Below are 23,994 nucleotides of genomic sequence, written 5' to 3' on the forward strand. Positions count from 1 at the left end.
TAGAGCTGATTGGACCTCCAGGCTAGTATTTTCCAGCAACCATATACTAGTGGGTCAATCACATTTAAAAAACCCTTAACTCTTTTACTTGCCTTTCCCACTAAGATTGACATTTACCCGTGTGATTATTTTTAAAGAATAGATTCCCAAAGTGGAATTTTCAAGAGAAATTATCTTTCAAATTTAGACAGATACTGACAGAAAAAATCATAAAGATACATTTCTAACAACAGGCTATGAGATAATTCTTTCATCACACTTTTGCTTACACGCATAAATCTTTTAAATGTTTTCCACGTGATAGCAGAAAAATGGGATCCACTGTTGGTTTCGTTTGTATTTCTTTCTTTCCTTTTTTTTTTTTTTTCAGACGGAGTCTTGCTCTGTCGCCCAGGCTGGAGTGCAGTGGTGCACGATCTCGGCTCACTGCAACCTCTGCCTCCCGGGTTCAAGCGATTCTCCTGCCTCAGCCTCCCGAGTAGCTGGGACTACAGGCGTGCACCACCACACCCAGCTAATTTTTGTATTTTTAGTAGAGAGGGGGTTTCACCATGTTGGTCAGGATGGTCTGGATCTCCTGACCTCGTGATCCGCCCTCCTCGGCCTCCTAAAGTGCTGGGATTACAGGCGTGAGCCACCGTGCTCAGCTTTTATTTCTGATGAGTAGCTAAGTAGAGTTCTTTTCATTTTTTTTAAACTACTTACAATTCACCTATGATTTGCCTGATTATACCCATTGCATGGAAATCCTTTGATTCAGTAAGCCTCAGTTTCCTCCTCTGTAAAATGGGGGCCATAATATCTCCCAAGGTTATTGAAGGTATTCTATGAGATACCACGAATATGAACTGCCTAGTATAGGACATGGTATGCAGCAGGCCTTCCAGTAACGTTGGATTTTGAAACTTATCCAGTAGCCACCCTCTGGCTGCCCAGCAGGTCTGCGTCCCGGACAAATCCATTAGTCCTGAGGGCGGAGTGAGTGGTAATTAACCTAGGAGAGCGAGGGACTCCTCCCGTCCCTCCTCCTCTTTGGCCAGCATCTCCCGCACGCCACACCTCCATCGCCGGTAGTTCTCATGCCCAGCCCACCCTCCTGCATCTGTCACAAGAGGATCAGTCACCGCACTGGACTGACTCGGTGACACTCAGTCCCCCACCCTCCATCCCAAGGCCCTTACGGGGGAACGCAAGAGCGCCGCGGGCCCGCGGAGCCCCCGCTTTGCCTCGGCATCTGTCGTCCCCACTTGGCCACCCTGAGCTCTTCTTCCTCCTGGGCCAGGTCTTTGAAACGACAATTCCTGCCGCGGCTCCTGGCTGCGCCCGAGCCAGATTCCCTGCCCCAGCCCCGAGAATCCAGACGGCATCCTCCTATCTTTCATCTCCAAACCCTCCGGCCATGCTGCGCCCCGGCTCCCCGCTGATTCCTGTAGACCGGCAGCTAGGGTCAAAGGCCTGGGAGAAAGGAGGCATTCCTAGCCCTCCTCCACCCCCTGGGCAACCCGAAATCCCTATACAACAAAGGCGTTTCTTGACTACTTGAATAATAACCATCCTTTTATATTTGCAAAATACGTTGTCCTCACCCAATCAAATGCCAGCCTGTAGTCCTTGTCATAGGCATATTCAATGTCCACATTTATGCATAAACATTATAAAGTTTTTATATGCTGCGTGTTTTACTAAAGGGTTTTTTTCTGTGCCTTTCTCTCCCATCATATAATCGTAAGAAAAATAAGTCACACATATTTGTATGACCCTTTAACTCATAGTTGTCACTTAGTCCTCAGAATAACCCTACCACAGGACTGTGCCCATTTTAGAATTGAGAGAACTGAAGTTGTAATTTCATTTTGTTTCCGTTTATTGAATTCTATTTACCAGATTCTACACTAAATTTTGTATTTATTATTTAATCTTCAAAATGTGCTGTTTGCAATGAAGAAACAGATTGGAGAGCTGAAGGAAAATTGTAAACAAGGAAGAAGTAATGCAGCCAGCCCTAATTCCAAAGCCCAGCGCTGTCCTGTCACCTGTTACTCCTCTAAAATGCTCTCTGAATTAGGGATTATTCAGAAAAGTGGGGATTGTTATGCTAACAAGGGCAATGCAGTGATAACTGTATTATTACAAGCTTCCTGTTAGGCTGTTGTAGTTATTTTAATTATTGCATTGGTTTTTTTTTTTTTCATATAAAACAGTGATGAAAATATCTGCTTTGCAGAGATCCTATTAGAATTAAATGAGACTATGTAAAATAAACTATAAAGCAGAATACAAATATGAGATCAATTAAGATATTATAAACGCTGGCCAGGGGCGGTGGCTCACACCTGTAATCCCGGAACTTTGGGAGGCTGAGGTGGGTGGATCAGTTGAGGCCAGGAGTTTGAGACCAGCCTGGCCCACATGGTGAAATCCCATCTCTACTAAAAGTACAAAAAATTAGCCAGGCATGGTGGCACATGCTTGTAATCCCAGCTACTTGGGAGGCTGAGGCAGGAGAATCCTTGAACCCGGGAGGCAGAGGTTGTAGTGAGCCGAGATCACGCCATTGCACTCCAGCCCAGCCTGGGTAACAAGAGTGAAACACTGTCTCAAAAAAAAAAAAAAAAAAAAAAAAAAAGATATTGTAAATGTTGTTTATTGGTTTCCTTTTTCTTAATTTTAAAATCTAATTTATTAATCACATTGGATTAAAGTATTATCTGCATTGGAAAGAACTCAAACAATGCTGAGATGCATATTGAAGCTAATAATCTTCTCCAACCTCTCCAACTCTGTCTACCCTTGTAAGGTAGCTAGTGTAGCATTTGGTGAGAATCCTTCCGAAACTTCCTCTATGCCCATGAAAAATGCCATTTAAACAGACGTAGAAACTCTTTTACTTGGTTGCAGTTGTACTATTCACACTTCTCTGCAACTTGAATCTGTCATTTATCTGCTTAATAAACCATTTAGTAATTCCACTTATGCTACTGACTCATTGCGTTATCTATAGTATGAATATATCTTCACTTATTCAGCTGGGTTTTTTTTGTTTGTTTGTTTTGTTTTGAGACGGAGTCTCGCTCTGTGGCCCAGGCTGGAGTGCAGTGGCACGATCTCGGCTTGCCCAAGCTCCTCTTCCTCCTGGGCTAGGTCTTTGTACCGACAATTCCTGCTACCACCTCCAGGGTTCAAGTGGTTCTCCGGCCTCAGCCTCCCCAGTAGCTGGGACTATAAGAGTGCACTAGCATGCCTGGCTAATTTTTGTATTTTTTCTTTTAGTAGAGATGAGGTTTCACCATGTTGGCCAGGCTGGACAACTGTTTTCTTGAGTATGTCATGAAAAGATCCTTTTGGAGAAAGAGCACCCTTTCTCCTTCATTACTTCTCAGTATCAATATCAAACTCTCTCACTCCCTTGGGGCAAGTATGTGACCTTTCTGGGTGGTGAAAATTCTCCCAGGCTCTTCCTGGGAGGCAGTAGAGCTCTATGCCAGCAAATTCGGCACTGTTTCCTCTCCTCCTACTCACATTCTTGCTGCTAGCAAGAGAGGAGCTGGTCCCAAAGTGGCTGCCATCATTTATGACAATGTTCTCTGAGTACTCTAAAAGCTAACATCATTTGAGAAAGCAGCAGGTTCTTCTCAAAGAGCCACTCACTATAGCACCCCCTGAAGTCCTTTAAAACTCAACACCACAGAGCATTGATAGAAGACCCCCCTCTGGTTGTTGGGAGCTAGCACGTGGTCAGCTGCTGGACAAAGAAGGGATGGCTTTCAGCTTCCACTGCCCTGGCTCAGGCCCTCTGACCTCTTGCTCGATAAAGGCTAACGGCCCCTGTCTGGTTTCATCTCCAACTCTTTCTCCCTCTCGTCAACCCTCTTTCTCAGCCACCATAGTGATCTTGTGATTTAAAAAAAAAAATTAGAGATAGGGATCTCGCTGTGGTGCCCAGTCTAGTCTTGAACTCCTGGGCTTAAGCAATCCTTCTCCCTCGACCTCCCAATGTGTTGGGATTATAGGAGTGAGCCTCTGTGTCCAGCCTATAGTGATCTTAAAATCTCTCATCATGTCCTTCCTCAGTTCAGTAATTTTCTACAGCTTCCGATTTTCTAATAATACCTTAACTGTTTACCAACAAAGTCCTGGAATACTCATCCATCATCTTCAAAAAGGGATATCTGTCATTTCTTCTGTCCCCAAAGTGCACTCTCCTCTGGATTCTATAAAAGTGTCCACACCAGAAACTCAGGAGCCATCTTCTCCTTTACCTGTATTTAGTGAATTCCAGTATCCTGGTCTTTCTGACTCAAAAATAATTCTTAAGTTGGTCTACTTCTCCCGACCCCACCTTTGAGAGCTCTCTTTTTTACTCCTGCCCTCCCTCCATGCCTTTGCATGGGCTGTTCTCTCTGTTCCCTCTCCCTTCCCCAACCTTTTCTTAGTCCCCCAGAACATGAAGAAGAATCAGAAAGGAAAGCTACTCAGCTGCTCCAAAGAGGGAGGCACCGAGTAAGGTATTAGGGATTAGGGATACTGAGAGTTGTTAGAAGTAGAGTTGTTGGAAGTAGCCAGGCACATACTGTTCCTGTATTTGTTTTTTGTTTGTTTATTTTGAGACAGAGTCTCACTCTGTAGTCCAGGCTGGAGTGCAGTGGTGTAATCATGGCTCACTGTAGCCTCAACCTCCCAGGCTCAGGTGATCCTCCCACTTCAGCCTCCCAGGCAGCTGGGACTCTAAGCATGTGCCACCATGCCCGGCTCATTTTTCTACTTTTTTTGTAGAGATGGGATTTCGTCATGTTGCCCAGGCTGGTCTCAAACTCCTGGGCTTAAGAGATCCTCCCACCTCAGCCTCCCAAAGTGCTGGGATTATAGAAGTGAGCCACTGCAGCTGGCCCATTTGTTGTTTTAAGTCATTGTTCACGTGAGAAATTTAAAAGCAGTTCATGGCATGTGGGACTTTATACGGTCGAATTTTGCAATATCTGGCATGTTTAGATTATGTTGACATGCTTGTTCTCGTGATGTGTTGAACATTTGAGGGGAGGGAGGAATAACTTTACATGTTGAAAAATGTTCTTTATCTCAGCCCTCCACTGTCTACTACAGTCATGTGCCACGTAACAATGTTTTAGTCAACAAGGGAACACATATGCAACAGTGGTCCCATAAGATTATAATACTGGGGCTGGGCACGGTGAGCACTTTGGGAGGCCGAGGCGGGTGGATCACCTGAGGTCAGGAGTTCGAGACCAGCCTGACCAACATGATGAAACCCTGTCTCTACTAAAAATACAAAAATCAGCTGGGCCTGGTGGCAGGCACCTGTAATCCCAGCTACTCCAGAGGCTGAGGCACAAGAATCGTTTGAACCTGGGAGGTGGAGGATACAGTGAGCTGAGGTCGTGCCGCTACACTCCAGCCTGGGTGACAGAGTGAGACTCCATCTCAAAAAAAAAAAAGTTTATAATACTGTAGTTTTACTGTCCCTTTTCTGTGTTTAGACACACAAATACTTACCATTGTGTTACCATGGCCTACAATATTCGGTAGACATCATGCTGTGTCATCTAGGTTTGTGTAAGTGCACTTCGTGATATTCACAGGACAAAATCACCTAACAATGCATTTCTCAGACCTTTAAGCAAGGCATGACTGTCACCTGGTGACAGCTACTGTAGTTGCAGGAAAAGGCTCTCCATGGGGAAGTCTCGCAAGGCAGTCCCTGGACAATCTAGTTATGGGGGATCGTAGATGTTCCCAGCAGTGAGCCAAAGAACATCCAGAGTCCCCGCTTAGCCCTTGACTTCTCCACTATGGCTAGTGGTTAGACTGGGAGCTTGCTCTATCTCTACTCTTTCAGAGAAAAATGGCACAGAAATAAAATGGCTTTTGTTGTAAATGCATCCAGACAAAGATGTCAGTGAGAAAAACCCCCCACTCCATCCTAACATCATAAAAGTCTGCTTTTCTGTCTGCTCCTGGGAGGCAAACAGCAGACTAGGTAGCTAGTTTTCAAAACTTCTCATGGGCTTCCTATGCCCGGACCAGCCCTCCGGCTAGTCCTGCTGCCTCCCTGAAGGGTGAATCAGGAGAGCCCTGTGCTCTTCTTTCCTGGTAGGAGAATCGCTTGAACCCAGGAGGTGGAGGTTGCAGTGAAACGAGATGGTGCCACTGCACTCCAGCCTGGGCAACAGAGGGAGACTCTGTCTCAAAAACAAAGAAGCAAGCAAACAAACAAAAAACTTCTGAGATTTGACGCTTTCATCTGTTTTTAGCATCAGGATTCTTTTTTGAGATAGGGTCTCACTCTGTCGCCCAGGCTGGAGTGCGTTGGTACAACCATAGCTCACTACAACCTCTGCCTGTTGGGCTCAAGCGATTCTGTCACCTCAGCCTCTGGAGTAGCTGGGACTCCAGGCATGCACCAGAACAGCTGGCTAACTTTTGTATCTTTTGTAGAGTTGGGGTCTTGCGATGTTGCCCAAGCTGGTATCTAACTCCTGAGCTCAAGCAATTCACCTGCCTTGACTTCCCAAAGTGCTGGGATTACAGATGTGAGCCACTGCGCCCAGCTAGCATAAGGATTTTTAAGCCATCTTTCCTCCTTCACTTTTGCCAGATTTTTATTGTAGCAGGGGTTATATGTAGGTTCCTCAAATTCAATTCTACAAATATGTAATCAAGTACCAGGCTTTACGCTGGATGTTGCTGGACTACAAGAAGGTGTCCCCTTACTTTCTGAGATTTTAGAAACGAACAAGGGGGAGCTGATCTTCGTCAGAGTTGCTGGCTCCTCTGCAGCCTGAGAATAAGTATTATCAAATACAATGTGCTAAAAGCAGAGGCAAGTGCGGGGGATGGAAAGATGCTGGAAAAACAACAGAACTTAAAGTGGGCAGTGGGGTTTGGACTCAGTAGAAAGGGCTGTGGGTGAGAACACAGGGGTCTCCATTCTGACTAGTGTTACGGACTTAAGTGTTGCTGGCCCAGGCTCTTAACTTCCCCAACCCTATGCCTGCTTTCCTGCTGGTGGTCAGCAAAGGCAAACCCAGGTTAAAATGAAAGAAAACCTGATTACATCATGTAAGAATTTACCAATCCCTAGACAGCTTGGTGCACGCGGGTAGACAAAACACTAGGAATCTAAATACCTAGGTTTTGATCCCGGTTCTGCTCTTGCTGTCTTTGTGGCCTTGAACAAATCACAGCACCTTTCTGGACCTAGATTTGACGGTAAGTAGAATGGTAATAGTAGTGTCTGCCATGGCTAGCTCCTAGGGAAGTCCTGGGGGTCAAAGGATCTTTGGGGGACTGAATGGGGTGTGCTGCCAGAAGTCAACAAACCTTCACCCCTGGCTGGGGTAAAGAGGAAGGGAGAAAAGGAATAGCAACTAAAGCAGGCTGACCAAGAGATGAAGATGACGGGGGTGAGCTGGACAGGAACCAAGCAGAAGCTGGGGAAGGAAGTCGTTTGAGCAGCACTGCTGCGAGCGAGTCTGGATATACAGTCAGCCACAAAGATCTGGGAAGTGTTTTTCCAGCGTACAAGTTGCTCATAACCTTGCGTGGCAGACATTATTTGTTTGTAATATGGAGATGCTATGCATTTTGACCTTTCTAGATTGTGTCTAGCTGGTTCATGCCCCATCAGCCCAGCCTGCCACATGCCTCGATGTGGCACATGTCAGATACACCTCGGTATCAATACAACTAGCATCACCACAGCCCTTTTCTCTGAGAGCTCTCCCTTTAGGGGAAAGTCCTCTATATTCTCAGTCCTTGGCACAGGGTAGGTACTGGGCAAATGTCTGTCAATTATGGATCTTGTGAATTTTGAAAGGGCCTGCCAAGTCTTTGGGAAATGATGAAAAAGATACCTGTCTGAAATGGGTTAGGAAGAAGTTTTTTTGAGGATAGGTTTATGACTCTTCCTAGATCTATGATCCCATTTTATAAATTAGAAAATCTACCATTTTGGGACTAACTCCTCAAAATAAGAGTCAACATACTTAATTTAAAAAAAGTTTTATTAAATCATTTAGACTTGAAAGAAGTCACAAGTTAACACACTTAAGTGTGTTCTGTACACCACCAACCCAAATGGATTGATTTCAGAATTTTTATAAATAAAACATAAACATATTTACAGTGAAAAATAAAAACATGTTAGCAAGTGAGATGATTAAACTGTTACCTATAATCAGTTTGGGGGAAGTACCAACCTACAGGATTACATATAAGACACTTAAGATTTCATTAGGCTTAAAAAGTCCATAGTTGAAGAAGTTAGTTGTAATATATATGATCCATTTCTTACTACGGCTTTTTTCCTCCCAAAACTAGACCTTTCAACCAATTTACATAAAAAGCTTCATTTTCCCTTTATTGGAGGTAAAAGTACAAAAAGCTGTAAACCCACCCTAGAACCATCTAAGGAATAAAGCTATTGAATGCTACAAATAGGACTATAAAACTACGGACATAAACCGTTATACAGTTTGTGCTACTTGTCCTCCAAAATAGTGCAGATTCCTAATTTACCCGCCAGGGACAAAAATGGAGTCAGCTTTTTCTAGAAATCAGTTTCAAAATCATCATATCTCTAGAAAGCATATTTCTAGAACAATACAGTTACCACACAGGGGGACTTTCCTTCTTCTGCATTATAAAAATATATCCATTTTAGTTCTCACTATATATATATATTAGGGATTGCTGCTACCTCCTTAGGCAAATGGTGAGGGCTATAAAGCTTGGCCAGCAGCCAGTTTCAAGAGACTAACAAAGAACAAAGATAGCCCTTTCCTTAAGTATAGCAAAACTCAGGAGTTGGCTCAAATTAGGTTATGCCCCCAAATCCAGCTTAAATTTGATATAAAAAAAGTAGTCCACAAAAAAATTGAGCGAAGAACAAACTTTTCAAGTCTGCAATTTTGGACAGGCATATTCTAAGAAGTAGGCTATTATCTGCATCACCTATTAGGGTTGCTAGCACAACTTAAGGCTAATTGCTTGGCAAAGGGCTATGGGAGTTGTTGGACTGTCTTGAATGTTTTGTTCCCGATGAACTCAAGGAGCGAGACCTCTGTCTGAGCACTGTTTTTCCTGGAAAGTCCAAGTCCTCAAATACAGCATTTTCAATGATGTTTATAGCTTCAGGTCGTTCCATGGGGGATGGAGAGAGCATGTCTTGAACCATCACGTACTGAAAATATAAAAATTGTTTTGTGATAAAACGGCCAGGTTTGATCACTGTACAGTTTTTAAAATCAGTGCTGGCAAAATATTTCTGTACATATTTTAAGCTTTTGAGCCATATTCGAGTTTTCAAGTCTCTGATACAACTACTCAGCTCTGCCGTCAATGCACAAAAGCATCCAGAGACAATTTGTAAATTAATGGGCATGGCTGTGTTCCAATAGAACTTTATTATAAAAATAGGTGGCAGGCTGGATTTGACCTGTGGGCACTAGTTTGCCAACCCTCATTCCAAAAAAACATGGACAATTTTTGGGTAATTTGATTTTCTAACACATTATAAAGGATTATTTAATCACATCCCTGAAACATAAATATGATTTTTAAAAATCATCTTATAATTGCATGTAAATCTACAATTATCTCAATAGAAATTTTAATTAGAAAAAATTATGGCAGAGATCAGCAACCAACACCTTTTCTTGGTTTTTAAAAATCTCTTTGAACGTAACATGTACTCTTATGAGCCACCCTGGGAATAGATTCATCAAGTTTGCAAAATACATGATGACAATTTTTAGTAAAACAGACTTAAGTATATGTAGGTATTAATATATTGTTATAAAGTCCATTTTTTAATGCAACCCTTCATTATAATACTGAAAGATAAATTTTGACTTTTTCCAATTTGAAAATGAACACATACTAACTCACTTCAACTTAATTACTTAAGGAAATTCAAGATTTATCAATATATAAATTTCACAGGTGCTACAGTGTGGAACACTGGACATTAGGCTGAAGGAGCCAGGCCCCAGCTCCAGTGTTTGGTTTTAACAAATTCTGGGCTCTTGGGAGCAGGTCTCTTTCCTCTCTAGACCTTTGGCTTCCTCATCTGTAAAATAGGGGAAACTGAGTCGACTGCTAAGGACCGCTTACGTTCTAAAGATGATTCTAAAGAAGATAAAAGATGAGAATTACACATACCTCACAAGGATATTTCTGAGTAAATAATGGTGGAAATTTGAGATTTCTTACATCAGTTAAGGTCTAAAAAGAAAAAAAGTATCACTTATTAAGTTTATTTTGACATACAACATGAAAATATTTTTTGATACTCTAACAAAATGACTAAGAGGTTGTACATCTATCAAATGGAAAATTTATCAATAGCTTTTCCTGATTTAATAACTACATATGTTTCCTGAGCACAGATGTACACTCCATCAAATATCCTCAAAATATACAGCTGGTCTTCCACATCCACAGATTCCACATCCAAGGATTCAACCAACCACAGAATGAAAATATTTAAAAAATTTAAAAATAGATGGTTGCATCTGTACTGGACAGATACAGATTTTTTTCTTGTCATTATTCCCTCATCAATACAGTATAATACTTATTTACATAGAATTTACATTATGTTAGGTACTGTAATTTACAGAAGATTTAAAATACACAGAATATATGTAGGTTCTATACAAATATTACACCATTTTATATAAGGGACTTGAGCATCTGCAGATTTGGTATCCACAGGGAGTCCTGGAACCAATCCCCTGTGGATACCAAGATGACTGTGTGTGTGTGTGTGTGTGTGTGTGTGTGTGTATGTACATTTACATATATGTGTATATATGTATGTGTGGAGGGAGGGAGAAAGAGAAAGGGGAGAGAGAGAGAGAGAAAGGGCCATATTAAAGCACAAAGAAAATATTGGAAATCTTTGTTTCTATGGAGTTGCCTCTTCTGAATATTTCATAAAAACTGAATGATATAAAAGTGGACTTTTGTGTCTGGCTTTTTTCACTCAGCATGTTTTCAAGATTCATCTACGTTGCGGCACATGTTAGTATTTCCTTCCTTGTAATGGTTGAATACTTTTCATTGTATAAAATACCACACTTTGTTTTTCCATTCATCAGCTGATGAGCATTTTGGTGGTTTCTACTTTTGGATATTAGAAATAATGCTCATATGAACAGTTGTATACAAGCTTTTGTCTATGTTTTCATTTCCCTTGAGTACATACCTAGGAGTAGAATTACTGGATTCTATGGTAATTCTATGTTTAACTGTTTAAGGAACTGCCAGACTGTTTTCCAAAGCAGCTGCACCATTTTACATTCCACCAGCAACGTATGAGGGTTCCAATTTCTCCACATCCTAGCCAACACTTGACATTTCCTTTTTTTTTAATTTTTTTATTACAGATACCCTAGATGGTGCTGAAGTGGTATCTCATTGTGGTTTTGATTTGCATTTCCCTAATGCCCAACGATGTTGAGCATCTTTTCACATGCTTATTGGCCATTTGTTTATCCTCTTTGGAGAAAGTTCTATTGCTTTGCCCCTTTTTAAAATGAGTTGTCTTTTTGTTGAGTTGTAATAGTTCTTTATGTATTCTGAATTCTAGACACTTTTCGGATATAGGATTTACAAATATTTTCTCCCATTCTGTGAGCTGCCTTTTCACTTTCTATTTCATTTAATTAATTTATTTAGAGATAGGGTCTCATGGTGCCCAGGCTATTTGCAGGCATAATCATAGCTTACTGTAGCCGTGAACTCCTGGTCTCAAGGAATTCCTTTTGCCTCAAGCTTCCCACGTAGCTGGGACTACAGGCATGTGCTACCACGTCCACCTTGTCTTTTCACTTTCTTGACAGTATTCTCTGAGGCATTTATAACTATATAAATTTTGATGCCATCTGATTCTTGATCCTTTACTTAGGTTAGACCTGTTTTATTTTCCTTTCTGGAAGCTTTTAGGGCCTTTATTTCTGGTGTTCTGAAAATGGTTATTTTGACTGTTTTTTTTTTTTTTTCATTCATTGTACAGAACATTTGGTAGGTCCTTTCGGTTAGAAGATATGAGTCATTTTGCTCTATGTGAGAACTACATCCTCTTCTACCATGGCCAGAGATCAATAAGTAAGATCTAAAACTGATAAAATAAGAAATAGTGACAAGAGCCTAAACTTTGAAAATATGGAGATAAGTACCAGGGACAACAACTAGAAGAGGTGAGGGTAGCTACTTATGAAAGATAGGGAAGAATGTGACAGAGGCCCACTTTATTTTCAGAGACAGGGTCTTGCTGTGTCGCCCAGGCTGGAGTGCAGTGGCACAATCATAGTGATCTTCCTGCCTTAGCCTCTCAAGGCATGTGCTACCATGCCTTGCTAATTTTTAAATTTTTTGTAGAGATGGGGTCTTACTATGTTGCCCAGGCTGGTGTTGAACTCTGGCCTCAAGTGATCTTCCTGCTTGAGCCTCCCAAAGTGTTGGGATTAGAGGTGTGAGCCACCATGCCTGGCCAGAGGGCTACTTTTTTTTTTTTTTTCGAGACAGAGTCTCACTCTGTCACCCAGGCTGGAGTGCAGTGGCGCGATCTCTGCTCAATGCAAGCTCCGCCTCCCGGGTTCACACCATTCTCCTGCCTCAGCCTCCAGAGTAGCTGGGACTACAGGCACGTGCCACCATGCCCGGCTAATTTTTTGTATTTTTAGCAGAGATGGGGTTTTACCGTGTTAGCCAGGATGATCTTGATCTCTTGACCTCATGATCCACCTGCCTCAGCCTCCCAAACTGCTGGGATTACAGGCGTGAGCCACTGCACCCGGCCCAGAGGGCTACTTTAAAATGACTTTCAGTCATCCCTATAATCCCAGCACTTTGGGAGGCCAAGGCAGGAGGATCACTTGAGCCCAGGAGTTTGAGACCAGCCTAGACAACATAGGCAGAGCCCATTTCTACAAAATGAATAAAATAAAATTAGCCAGGCATAGTGGCACGTGCCTGTGGTCCCAGCTACTGGGGAGACTGAGATGGGAGGATGGCTTGAGCCCAGGAGGTTGAGGCTGCAGCGAGCTGTGATCACACCACTGCACTCCAGCCTGAGCGACAGAGCAAGACCTTGCCTTGAGAAAAAAAAAAGACTTTCAGTACTATCTGCTTTAAAGGCTGTGGTCATGGTTTATTTTGAGAGGAAAGAAACCTAATTATGCTTAATCTGCCAGCTTTTAAATATATGAGTGTGTGGCCCCCATTACCTTGTGGTTCCCCTAGATTTTTACTTATAACAAACTTACTGAGTGCAAAACATTGTTAAATTATGATGAATTTAAGCAAAAACTAAGAACAAACAATCTAACCAAACAAGTTTTTGAAGACTGAGCTTTAAATGGAAGCAAATAGTCTAGAACTCCTCTCTGTGTTACTCACATCACCTCTTTCACTTTTAGTTAACCAATCTGCTGGTATTAAGAAGAACTAAGTCTTTAAAAAACTCTTTTGTAAATGTTAGATTATTTTCTGTTTGAAACTTTTTTTTTGAGTAGGGAGGGTACTTACCCTGACTCTCTCCATCTGAGTGCTGAATGGATACAGCAATTCAAATAGAATCAGGCCTAAAGAAAAGATGTCCACTTTATGAGAATAGCTGTTTCCATGAATCTGAAATCCCACATAAAGAAAATTTAAAAATTAACACAGAGACAGTACAGTTGATATTACAGCATTATTGAATCCCAAAGTTTACTTAGTCACTTCTTGGTTTAAATGCAAGTACATGTGTAAAAATGTTAGCAAAGAGTTAATCTCCCAAGTCTCTTTTCTTCACTACTACACCAAGAGTAATTAAACTACTCAGCATTACAGAAGGAAAGCCCAGGTATAGCTCTGAGATATGCATCAGTAAAACAGGCCCCTCGGAAACCTGGAGACTTGCCATGCTAAAAAAGTTTGTGGGAGCCAGCAAAATCTGCTCGACTACCCCTGAGGTGAGGTTTTTCAAAGGGAACGCTATCTAAAGCAAATCTTTCATTTCTAATCATCTTAGTCCTAACCCATTTTTATGAGAAAATCTTCATTACTCCAAACCACTAATCAACTGTAGTTAGCCTTCATTAGGGCACTTAATTACGGATACTTTGCATTCTTGGTTGTATTTTTCATGTGTATATTTCTTATTCTTCACAACTAGATTATCAAGTCCTGGAGGAAGGGAAATGCTTCTTTTGTGTTGCTATCGTCCAGCACTGGGGCTAAGTATAGAGAAGGCCCTCAATAAATACTTAGTTGTTAAAATGAACAAATGAATTACAACAGAACTACTCGACTAAAGAAAGCATTATTTAAATTAAAATTGACCTTTTGGTGACTCAGAAGAACCCCTTTATTTGTGAAAATTTCTTTAGAGATATAACATGACATTTGAGAAACTGCCAAAGAAGGGAACTTTGGAAATGCTCCATACCAGTACTTCTTAACTGGGAAGTAGAGGTGGTCACAGGGCAGTTGCCAGGGTTTATGATCCCTTCACAACTTCCCCTCTAAACCGTACTTGGCATCTGTCTCCCTGGCCTTCTGCGCAGCCTGCCTGCCTCTGTACTTATAGAAGAGCAGATGGAAAGCTTCAGTGACCACATCAGTGGCATCACCCTCTTCCCTTCCAAGAGACTGTAGCAATCTGAACCCTGTCTCACTTCTTATCCCTGGGGTTTTGGAAGTGTTAAAAAAAATGTGCAAAAACAAATCTTATAGGGGAACTGAAAAGGACACCCTCACACACTATTTGGAGAATATAAATAAACACAAATTTATAAGAAGCAACTTGGCAATAAATGTTTACTCCTGCTTAATGATGCCATCTAATTTTACCCACCCTAGGGCAGATGGAAATGTGTACAGACATTTGGGTATTTGGGTACAGGGATAGTTACCCAAGTGATATTCCTAATAGCAAAATTTACAAGTAATTAAAATGTCCCAAATGAATGTTGAATACTATGCAGCTGGAAATCTTTTCTAAGAATATTTAATAATATGGGAAATACTTATATTTTAATATTGTATCCAAAATGTTAGAGTAGAATTCCAATTTTATTTTCTAAAGTAAGGTGTATATAGATATACACACACACAGAGAGAGAAAAGGAAATAACTGCTGTTAATGTCTTACAGATATTTTTGGTAAGTGATTTTTACTTTTTTGTTATATGTCCCTATACTTTCTGTATTCCCTAGAGGACAGATAGATATATAATGTGTTACTAAATTTATTTATTGTTTCTAACGTGATTAAACATATTTAAAAAAAGAAATGTAGCCTCATGAACGCATGAAAAGTTATATTTACAAAATATCTAAAAAATAAGGAATTAGGACCTAGAATATATCCTTTGAATTGTTTAATCGCTGTGTGCAAATCTAGAACTTAACCTGTGTTTCTTCGTAATTACAACCAAGAACAAAGTAACCATGGGTCCTGCTCATTTATTTCAAGGATGAGAAAATTAAGAGAGTTCTAATAATAAATAATTTTAAAACAATGTTTTAGTATAGCTTCTAAGGCTTGGGTAAGATTGTACAATTCATACAGCCCAAATATTTTGTGTGACTTTTTAAGGAGCACTTTATAAAGTGACAGTTTCTATGTTTAAAGAGGATTAAGAAGATAATTAAGACTGTCCATTTTTAACTACCAAATTTTAACCACTATACATTGCCATAAAATTTCTACAGCTATCCTAATTTTCTAGTATTTTCAACAATACGAAATATAGCTTCAGTTGTCATCAACCTCTTCCTTTCTCAAATGGCAACCCATTTCCAAGACACACACACACACACACACAGCAGCCACAAGCCACACTACAGTCAGCACAGAAGTGTGTATGGGGTGGCCGGGACTACCTGGTGTTCATCTTTTCACTAGCATTCACCTTCACTCATCCACCAAACACTTATGAAACTATGCCACATTCTAGGTGTTGTTTCAGGTGTTAAGAGTAGAATGAGAGACAAGCTAAGTCCCTATACTGATAGTTTATATTTCACAGGGAAAGAAAAAAGAACCTCAAAGAGTTAAAAATGCTGTAAAAAGAAACCAGTGTAATGGGATGGACCCAGGCAGGGAGTGAAGGGAGAAGCATCTCTTTTAAATAGGACTGGGTGAGAGAGGCTTCCCAAGTCGTGAGCCTTCATTAATAAGCATCCAGATAGAATTCCTTTTATTTGTTTTCACAATATTTAAAATGTAAAAGTATTATTTCCAGCCTCTTAAATAATAATAAATTTTTAAAAACACAATTAAAAAGGTGTTTTTTTTTTTTTTTGAGACGGAGTTTCACTCTTGTTGCCCAGGCTGGAGTGCAATGGCAAGATGTCGGCTCACTGCAACCTCCCCCTCCTGGGTTCAAGCAATTCTCCTGCCTCAGCCTCCCAAGTAGCTGGGATTACAGGTGCCTGCCATCATGCCCGGTAATTTTTATATTTTCAGTAGAGACGGGGTTTCACCATGATGGCCAGGCTGGTCTCGAACTCCTGACCTCAGATGATCTGCCTGCTTTGGCTTCCCAAAGTGCTGGGATTACAGGTGTCAGCCACCATGCCTGGCCAAAAAAACTTTTTTTTTTTTTTTTTAAAGGGGTTTCACTCTGTCACCCAGGCTGGAGCACGGTGGCATGACCTTGGCTCACTGCAACCTCCACCTCCCAGCCTCAAGCGATCCTTTCTACTTCAGTCTCTCAAGTAGCTGGGACCACAGGCATACACCACCATGCCCAGCTAATTTTTGTATTTTTTGTAGAGATGGGGTTTCGCCATGTTGCCCAGGCCGGTCTCGAACTCTGAAGCTCAAGCAATCCACCTGTCCCAAAGTGCTGGGATTACAGGCATGAGCCACCATGCCCAACCAAAACTGTTTTTAATATCAATTCTGTTGTATGACTATGTAGAAAAATTGGATCATACAGAAAAGTCCAAAATAGATTAAAATTCATTTGAAGTCCCACTACTCAGAAGCAATGACTGTTGATATTTTATGGCTCTTCTAGTCTTTTTTCCTATAGATAGAAATATGTATTTATAGTATTTTGATATTTCATACAGTTTTAATTTTTCCTTTCACCACCCCTTGGCCAGATCATTTGAGCAGGATGATTTAATTACCAGGGCCAATAGATTTATTTTATTTATTTTTCTACGTAAGCCAGTTTGGATACTTTTGGTTGCAACCAATTGACTATATATGAAAGTCTCCTATAAATAAAAATCTCTTCTGTATCTCTTCTAATTTCTAAATTTATTTGTGATTTTCCCCCCTTAAGTAGGTATCTATGCTAGAGAGGATTATCTTTATTTTAAACTATTAGAAACAACCATGGTGATGCTATTTTACTGTTTCACCAGTATCAATTCTTATGTTTGTTTTCCATCTTCTTGGCTCCTCCCTGCCTTCTATTGAGCAGAATTCTAATCTCTTATACAGTAATGTGCTATGTAATGAAGGCCTGAAAATAAATTTATCTCCAAATGGAACTTTGAAAACTTCCTATAGATTTCACTATTTTTCATTTCTTTCATTTTTAAAAAAAGTTTTTTACATTTTCTTTTAAGATGGGGTCTATTTTGCCCAGGCTGGCCTGGAACTCCTGGACTCAAGTGATCCTCTCACCTCACCCTCCTGAGTAGCTGAGATTATAGGCTCAAGCCACAGTGCCCAGCTTCTTTCATCATTTTCTTAATACTTTGTATGAGTATTTTTACTTCATTATTGACCTGATAGTTATTTTTAAAAACTCTTTTTTTTTTTAAGTTCTGGGGTACATGTGTAGGACGTGCAGGTCTGTTACACAGGTAAACGTGTGCCATGGTGGTTTGCTGCACTTATCAACCCATCATCTATTGACCTGATAGTTATTTAGGAGGGTTTTAAAATTTCCAGTTGGCCAGGCACAGTGGCTCACGCCTGTAATCCTAGCACTTTGGGAGGCCAAGGCGGGAGGATTGCTTGATCCCAAGAGTTCAAGACCAGCCTTGGCAACATAGTGACACCTCATCTCCACAAAAAACAAAAAAATTATCTGAGCATGGCGGTGTGGACCTGTAATCCCAGCTACTTGGAAGGCTGAGGTGGGAGGATCACTTGAGCCCAGGAGGCAGAGGCTACAGTGAGCCAAGATCACATGACTATACTCCAGCCTGAGTGACAAAGACCCTGTCTCAAAAAAATAATAAAATTTCCAGCCAGCAAAACAGAAGCAAAAGCAAAAATAAAAACAGACAAAATTATAAAAATCAATTTATACACCACTATACCCTTCTTTTAATATATTATAATCATAAAAAGGCATTTACAATATCCATGATATTTCTTTGTGGCCTAGAAGTTCAAAATGAAAGTAAATATAATTATAATTTATTCATCAATAAATCTTCAAATAGCAACTGTATATAAAGCTTAGTATTTTTTTACCTAGCTTCCCTTTCTAACCTTTTTTTTTTTAAATTATAATCCAACCTGAAGTTTCCCTTTCATGGGGATATTTAAACACATCTATTTATTTGTTGTCATAACTAATATTTGGCTTTAGCATCACTTGTATTTCCATATCCTTTCCCTTTGCTGCAGTTTGTGTTTGTCGTCTGTAAGTGATACAGAGGTAGAAATATTGTTTTATTATTCTATTTGCCAAACTTAGCTACATCAAGTACAAATCCCTATTCCCATCTTTATTTTCCATGTTCTTACCATCGTCCATTTCCTAATCTTTGTTAATTTAATATAGGAATGACAAACTCAGCTTATAATGATAAGCATACTTAAAATTATTTGTCTTTTACTAGGAATACATTTTGGATTTTATTCTCATTTTGGTATCAATATTCACAAGAACCATTGGCACATATCGTTCATTGGGTTTGATGTCTATTGCCAATTTTTATATATTTCTCATCTCAAATTAACTTTTAATAGGTAACACATTCAGATGGCTCAAAAAGAGCTAACAGTAAAAGTTCCCTCTCACTCTGTCCCTCACTGGCCTAGCCCCACCAGTTACTTCCCCTCTGCCACTGCCCCCATAGCCATTTGTTTCTTACACATCATTCCAGAGTTTTTTAATGTAAACATAAGCAAATGTATATCTATCTTTTCCTCCTTTACACAAAAGGTGTACACATTTCTGCATTTTGTTTTTTTTCACTTAAGATACTTTTTTGACTCTTAATATGTAAAAATGCTTGATTTCTTTTTTCTTTTTTTTGAGACAGAGTCTTGCTCTGTTGCCCAGGCTGGAGTGCAGTGGCAGGATCTTGGCTCACTGCAATCTCCTTCAAAGACGAAATACAAAATAAAAATTCACATTGCAAAAAAGAAACACTTGACTAAGGTAAACAATGCAAACACTTCAAAAGGATGCTCTATGACAGTAAAACAAACTTGCCCTCCTCAAAGGCAGTTCCTATTACTGGTCTCTGATATAATCTTTCAAAGATAGTCAAATCCAGTGGTTCTTGAAGTATGGTCCATGGATTCCTCGGGACCCTAACACCCTTTCAAAAGGTCTGCAAGGCCAAGACTATTTTCATAATAATACTAAGATATAATTTTTCACTGTGTTGACATTTGCACTGACAGAACCTAAGCATGAATCAAGCGAGCAGTGCCAAGCTGTACCAGTAGCAATTACATTCTTCAGCACCACGTGCTCACAGGCAAAACCAAAAAACATTTCACTTAAAATGTCCTTAGCAGTAGAAATTATTAATTTATTAAATCTCAACCTTTAAATATACACCTTTTTAATAATCTGACAAAATGGAAAATATTCAGAAAAACATTTATGCTCCATACCAAAGTACAATAGTTGTCTCCAAGTTTGATACCTTGGATATGCTAATAACCCTGATCCAATCACTAAATAGTGTATGTATTAAAACGACAGTATGTACCCCATAAATATGTACAATTATGAGTCAATTTAAAAAACAAACTAATTTTAAGAAGTTGAGACCTGCTGATGTAAGCATAGATTAGCTTGTGAGTATCATTAGCATTTGTGCAATTATTTGAGTTACAATATGCTCTAGCTGCTCTTTTCATAGAACACCATTTTGACTTGAAAGAATAATTGGTAGACAAACTACAGTTATTGAGACTTGGATACTTGACAGAGAGTTTTTTTTTCGAGATGGAGTCTTGCTCTGTCACCCAGGCTGAAGTGCAGTGGTGCAATCTCGGCTCACTGCAACCTCTGCCTCCTAAGTTCAAGCAATTCTTGTGCCTCAGCCTCCTGGGTAGCTGGGACTACAGGCATGCGTTACTATGCCCAGCTAATTTTTGTGTTTTTACAAGAGACGGGGTTTCACCATGTTGGCCATGCTGGTCTCGAACTCCTGGCCTCAGGTAATCTGCCTGCCTCGGCCTCCCAAAGTGCTGGGATTATAGGTGTGAGCCACTGCGACTGGCCGAGGGACACTTTCTTAAAGATGAACAATGAGACCGGGCATGGTAGCTCACGCCTGTGATCCCAGCACTTTGGGAGGCTGAGGTTCAAGGATGGCTTGCGGCCAGAAGTTCAAAACTAGTCTGGGTAACACAGCAAGACCCCATCTCAAAAAAAAAAACAAACAACATTTTTTTTTTAAAGAGAAAAAAAGATGAACAATGTGAGAATGGCATTTCAAGGAAAACTAACAGTATTTGTTGCCAATGTTAAAAGTTGAGCTTTTAAGTGAAAATTAAAATTTTGGAAGATTTCAGTCTACCAGTGGGAATTTGATAGCCTCCTAATATGTACATAAAGCCTTTTCTGGTGAGATTGGTGGTTGTATTAACCAAAGTGACTTTTTATATTACATAATGAACTGTGATGACTTTTGGAATAGTTGCCAAACTTAGGGAACCAATAGTTTCCAAATGACTAATGCACAATGTAAAGTCAAGCATGGGTAAAAAGATCCATTCAAAGTACAAAATGGACCAAGGGATGTTAAAAGTACCAGAGTACAAAATATTCATGAATGGTTTTAGATTCCACAGTGTAAATGACTTCTAAGAAACTATCATTTACTAAGTTTTGATATACTATCAAAGACAAAATATCTACAATTACTTGAAATGAAATATTGCTCTTTTTTCCAACTACATATCTGTGCGAGGCCAGATTTCCTCATGTACTTCAGCCAAAATAACATACTGCAACAGATTGAACACAAAAGCAGATAGAAGAATGTAGCACTTTTATAAGTTAGCTTTAAAGAGACTGGCAAAAATGTAAACAAATGTCACTCTAATTTTTTTTTTTTGCAGGGGAATTGGTGCCTGTAATTTTTTTTTGTTTTAGAAAATACTTATTTTTCATAAAAATATCTTAAGATGTGATAGGTTTCATTGTTATTTAGTTGATTTAATAAAGTTTTATAAATTTCTCTTTTAACTTCTAATATAACAAATATCGATAGATAAAATTTTGTTAAGAAAACCTTTTGGGTTCTCAGTTATTTCTACAAGTGTAAGTATGTACTGAGCCCAAAACGTCCGAGACCCGCTGCTCTAAGCATAGAGAAGCTTGTGAAGATCATTTGCCTGGTGGTGGCTGAGCATGCTCGCCTGATGCTTCCAGGATGCCCTGCTCCCCCAGCTCTTCCAGTCCCTGCCCTGATTACAGTGCTTTTCCTGTGAAGGCCAAGCAGCCCACAAGGCAACACCTGCCGGCCTGTGTGCCTCTATTTCCTACTGTGGTACATGCTGGAAGTTGCCTATGAGTGACCACAAAGGGCAGCTCAGTATAGTACCTCTGGGTCTAGCTGGCTCTGAAAACAGTTCCAACACAGTCTACACAAGGCAAACGAGTTAAGTTTGGGAGGGTGGCATTCAAAGTCTCTTTCCAAATTCCTGGTTGCTGTCAGGTGCTTGTTCAGGGGGTGAGTGCATTTTATGTGTTGTATTTTTCTTAATCCAGCCCCAATTCAGGTTGTAGAAACTACATCTTAGCTGTGTCACTATTCCACTACTGGAACACTACTGCCAGTTTTCATAATTTTCAGACTTACTGGGTTTTAGATTACTGGGTATTTTAATGAAAACATGAGAAGAGATTCATCAGGTACATCTGCTGCTGTGCTAGTAAGTAAAGGTCTGAAAAACTCACCTGCTCTGGGCTCATATACAGTTTGGTCCCTACTTGTCCTGTGTGTCTGGCATAAGCTGGCATTGGGGTCAGAACCGTCTGCTCTTCCTCATCCTGGTCCATTGCAGTCACTAACCCAAAGTCTCCAACCTTGACCACATCATCCATTGTAAAGAATATGTTGGATGGCTGGAAAGAATACAACAGACAAAAGTACAGTGGGTGTGCATGGAGGCGAAAAAGTAAAGAGAATTATTTAAAAGACTACAAAGAAAAAATACAACAAACTAGATATTTTCAAGCATATTTCTTTTTAAAATGGGCTAACAGGAAAATAGTGACAATTTTTCTGTGCCAGACAAGTACTGCTAGTAAAGAAAAGGGAAGGGTAGCAAAGAGTGCTAGTATTTATTGAACATCTACTTAAACCCTTTGAGGTGCACATTCCCTAGGGATCATGGTACTTAATCCTCAATCTTATTATTCTATATATTCTTCCCAGGCAAGCATCTCTACACTTATGACTTAAAGCCTTAATAATTATAACTAATAATAACTAGTTCATAAATAGAACTTGCAATGTGCTAGGCACTGTTCAAAGCAGTTTACTACTACTAACTCATGTACTACAACCCCATTAGATGAGTACTAACCCCATTTTACAGACATAGAAAGTGAGGCCCAGAAGTTAAACAAATTGCCCAAGGTTACCCAACTAGCAAGTGGTGAAGCAGGGATTCAGACCTGAGCAGTCTGGCTCTATGAGGAAAGGACCTTGTGATCCACTGCCACGTGCCCAGATTTCAGTCCAGTTCTTGCTCTATGGTAGCTAATTACTATTTGGTGAATGAATGAAACAGACTGATCTTTTGGTTTGCGTCTGAGGGGGATATAGATTATCAGAAGGGATAAGAGCTCTTCACTACTACTCTATGCTGCCTCTCGTAAAACCTCTATGTTCTCAAGACTATATCTACTCCCAGATCTCTGCCCTGAGTTCTAAACTCATATTACACTGTTTATTGAATACATCTAACCAGAGGTCTCATGGGCTTCTCAAACCCAAGGTGCCCTACATGAAATACATCACCTCTCCCTCAGAGTCTACTCTACTCTGCGGGTAATATGACCACCATTCATAGCCCTTGAAATGAGGAAAAAGGAAGCCATTTAGCTCATGAAATTGAATTTCATCATGTTTCAAATACTGCCAGAAAATAACATTGCATTCCCAAACTCTAAAATACCATTAAACGATTTTGACTTGGAAGCATGAAGTTATTGTGTATAAGATCTATGGTAATAATCTGCAGCTCTCCAATAAATAACTTTGTACCAGAGGCAATAATAGACTATCCTGCATTAAATGTCATCTTTCTTCCCAACTCCCAACATCTGATGGCAGTTGTTATTTACTGAACCCTATAATAGACAAGCTTTTTGGCTCTCCAGTATCTATCTCCCTGTGCTTCCAGCAGAAGTATCTTGACTTTACTTTGGGAACTTCCTTCTTGCTGACTGTGCAGCAAAACCCCACGGTTAGTGTGGAAGGCATCCATGCTCTAAAAGTTGCTTACGCCAATCCATGGAATCCCATTGCCTGGCTAGGGATTGTTGAGGGATGGGTAGGTGTCCTTGGTTTAAGTAGAATAAAATTTCTGATAGTGGGAAAAAGCAATACTTTTCTCTCCACCCTCTACCCCACCAACTCCAAAAGACTTAAATAGAAACAAGAAATGGGGAGGACAGAAACCAGGTTCTGGCTAAATCACTTGATCTCAGCTAAAGCTTTACCTGAATTCTCAACAGTTTAGCCATGTGGGCCAACAGATTTCCTTTTCTGGTTAAGTCAGTATAAACACTTTTGAGTGCAAAGAAA

General features: G+C 40.2%; 1 protein-coding gene and 1 long non-coding RNA gene across 5 annotated transcripts in view; one reads left to right on the forward strand and one right to left on the reverse strand.

Annotated features, from left to right (window-relative positions):
* The window catches only part of EIF2AK3-AS1 (EIF2AK3 antisense RNA 1), a 36,891-nt gene that overhangs the window by 10,018 nt on the left and 2,879 nt on the right, over positions 1-23,994 (forward strand). The gene's annotated exons all lie outside the window — the stretch shown is intronic.
* EIF2AK3 (eukaryotic translation initiation factor 2 alpha kinase 3) overlaps positions 8,004-23,994 on the reverse strand; it is a 71,405-nt gene continuing 55,414 nt past the window's right edge. For all 4 annotated transcript variants that reach the window (XM_047446428.1, NM_004836.7, NM_001313915.2 and 1 more), the window contains 4 exons: positions 22,137-22,304; positions 13,552-13,653; positions 10,180-10,242; positions 8,004-9,199 (listed from right to left, as the gene is read on the reverse strand). In XM_047446428.1, coding sequence (XP_047302384.1) covers positions 8,999-9,199; positions 10,180-10,242; positions 13,552-13,653; positions 22,137-22,304 — 534 coding nt within the window. In that variant the 3' untranslated portion in view covers positions 8,004-8,998. The remainder of the gene's footprint in view (positions 9,200-10,179; positions 10,243-13,551; positions 13,654-22,136; positions 22,305-23,994) is intronic.

The sequence above is a fragment of the Homo sapiens genome, chromosome 2 (genome assembly GCF_000001405.40).
Source record: "Homo sapiens chromosome 2, GRCh38.p14 Primary Assembly".
Classification (NCBI taxonomy): Eukaryota; Metazoa; Chordata; class Mammalia; order Primates; family Hominidae; genus Homo; species Homo sapiens.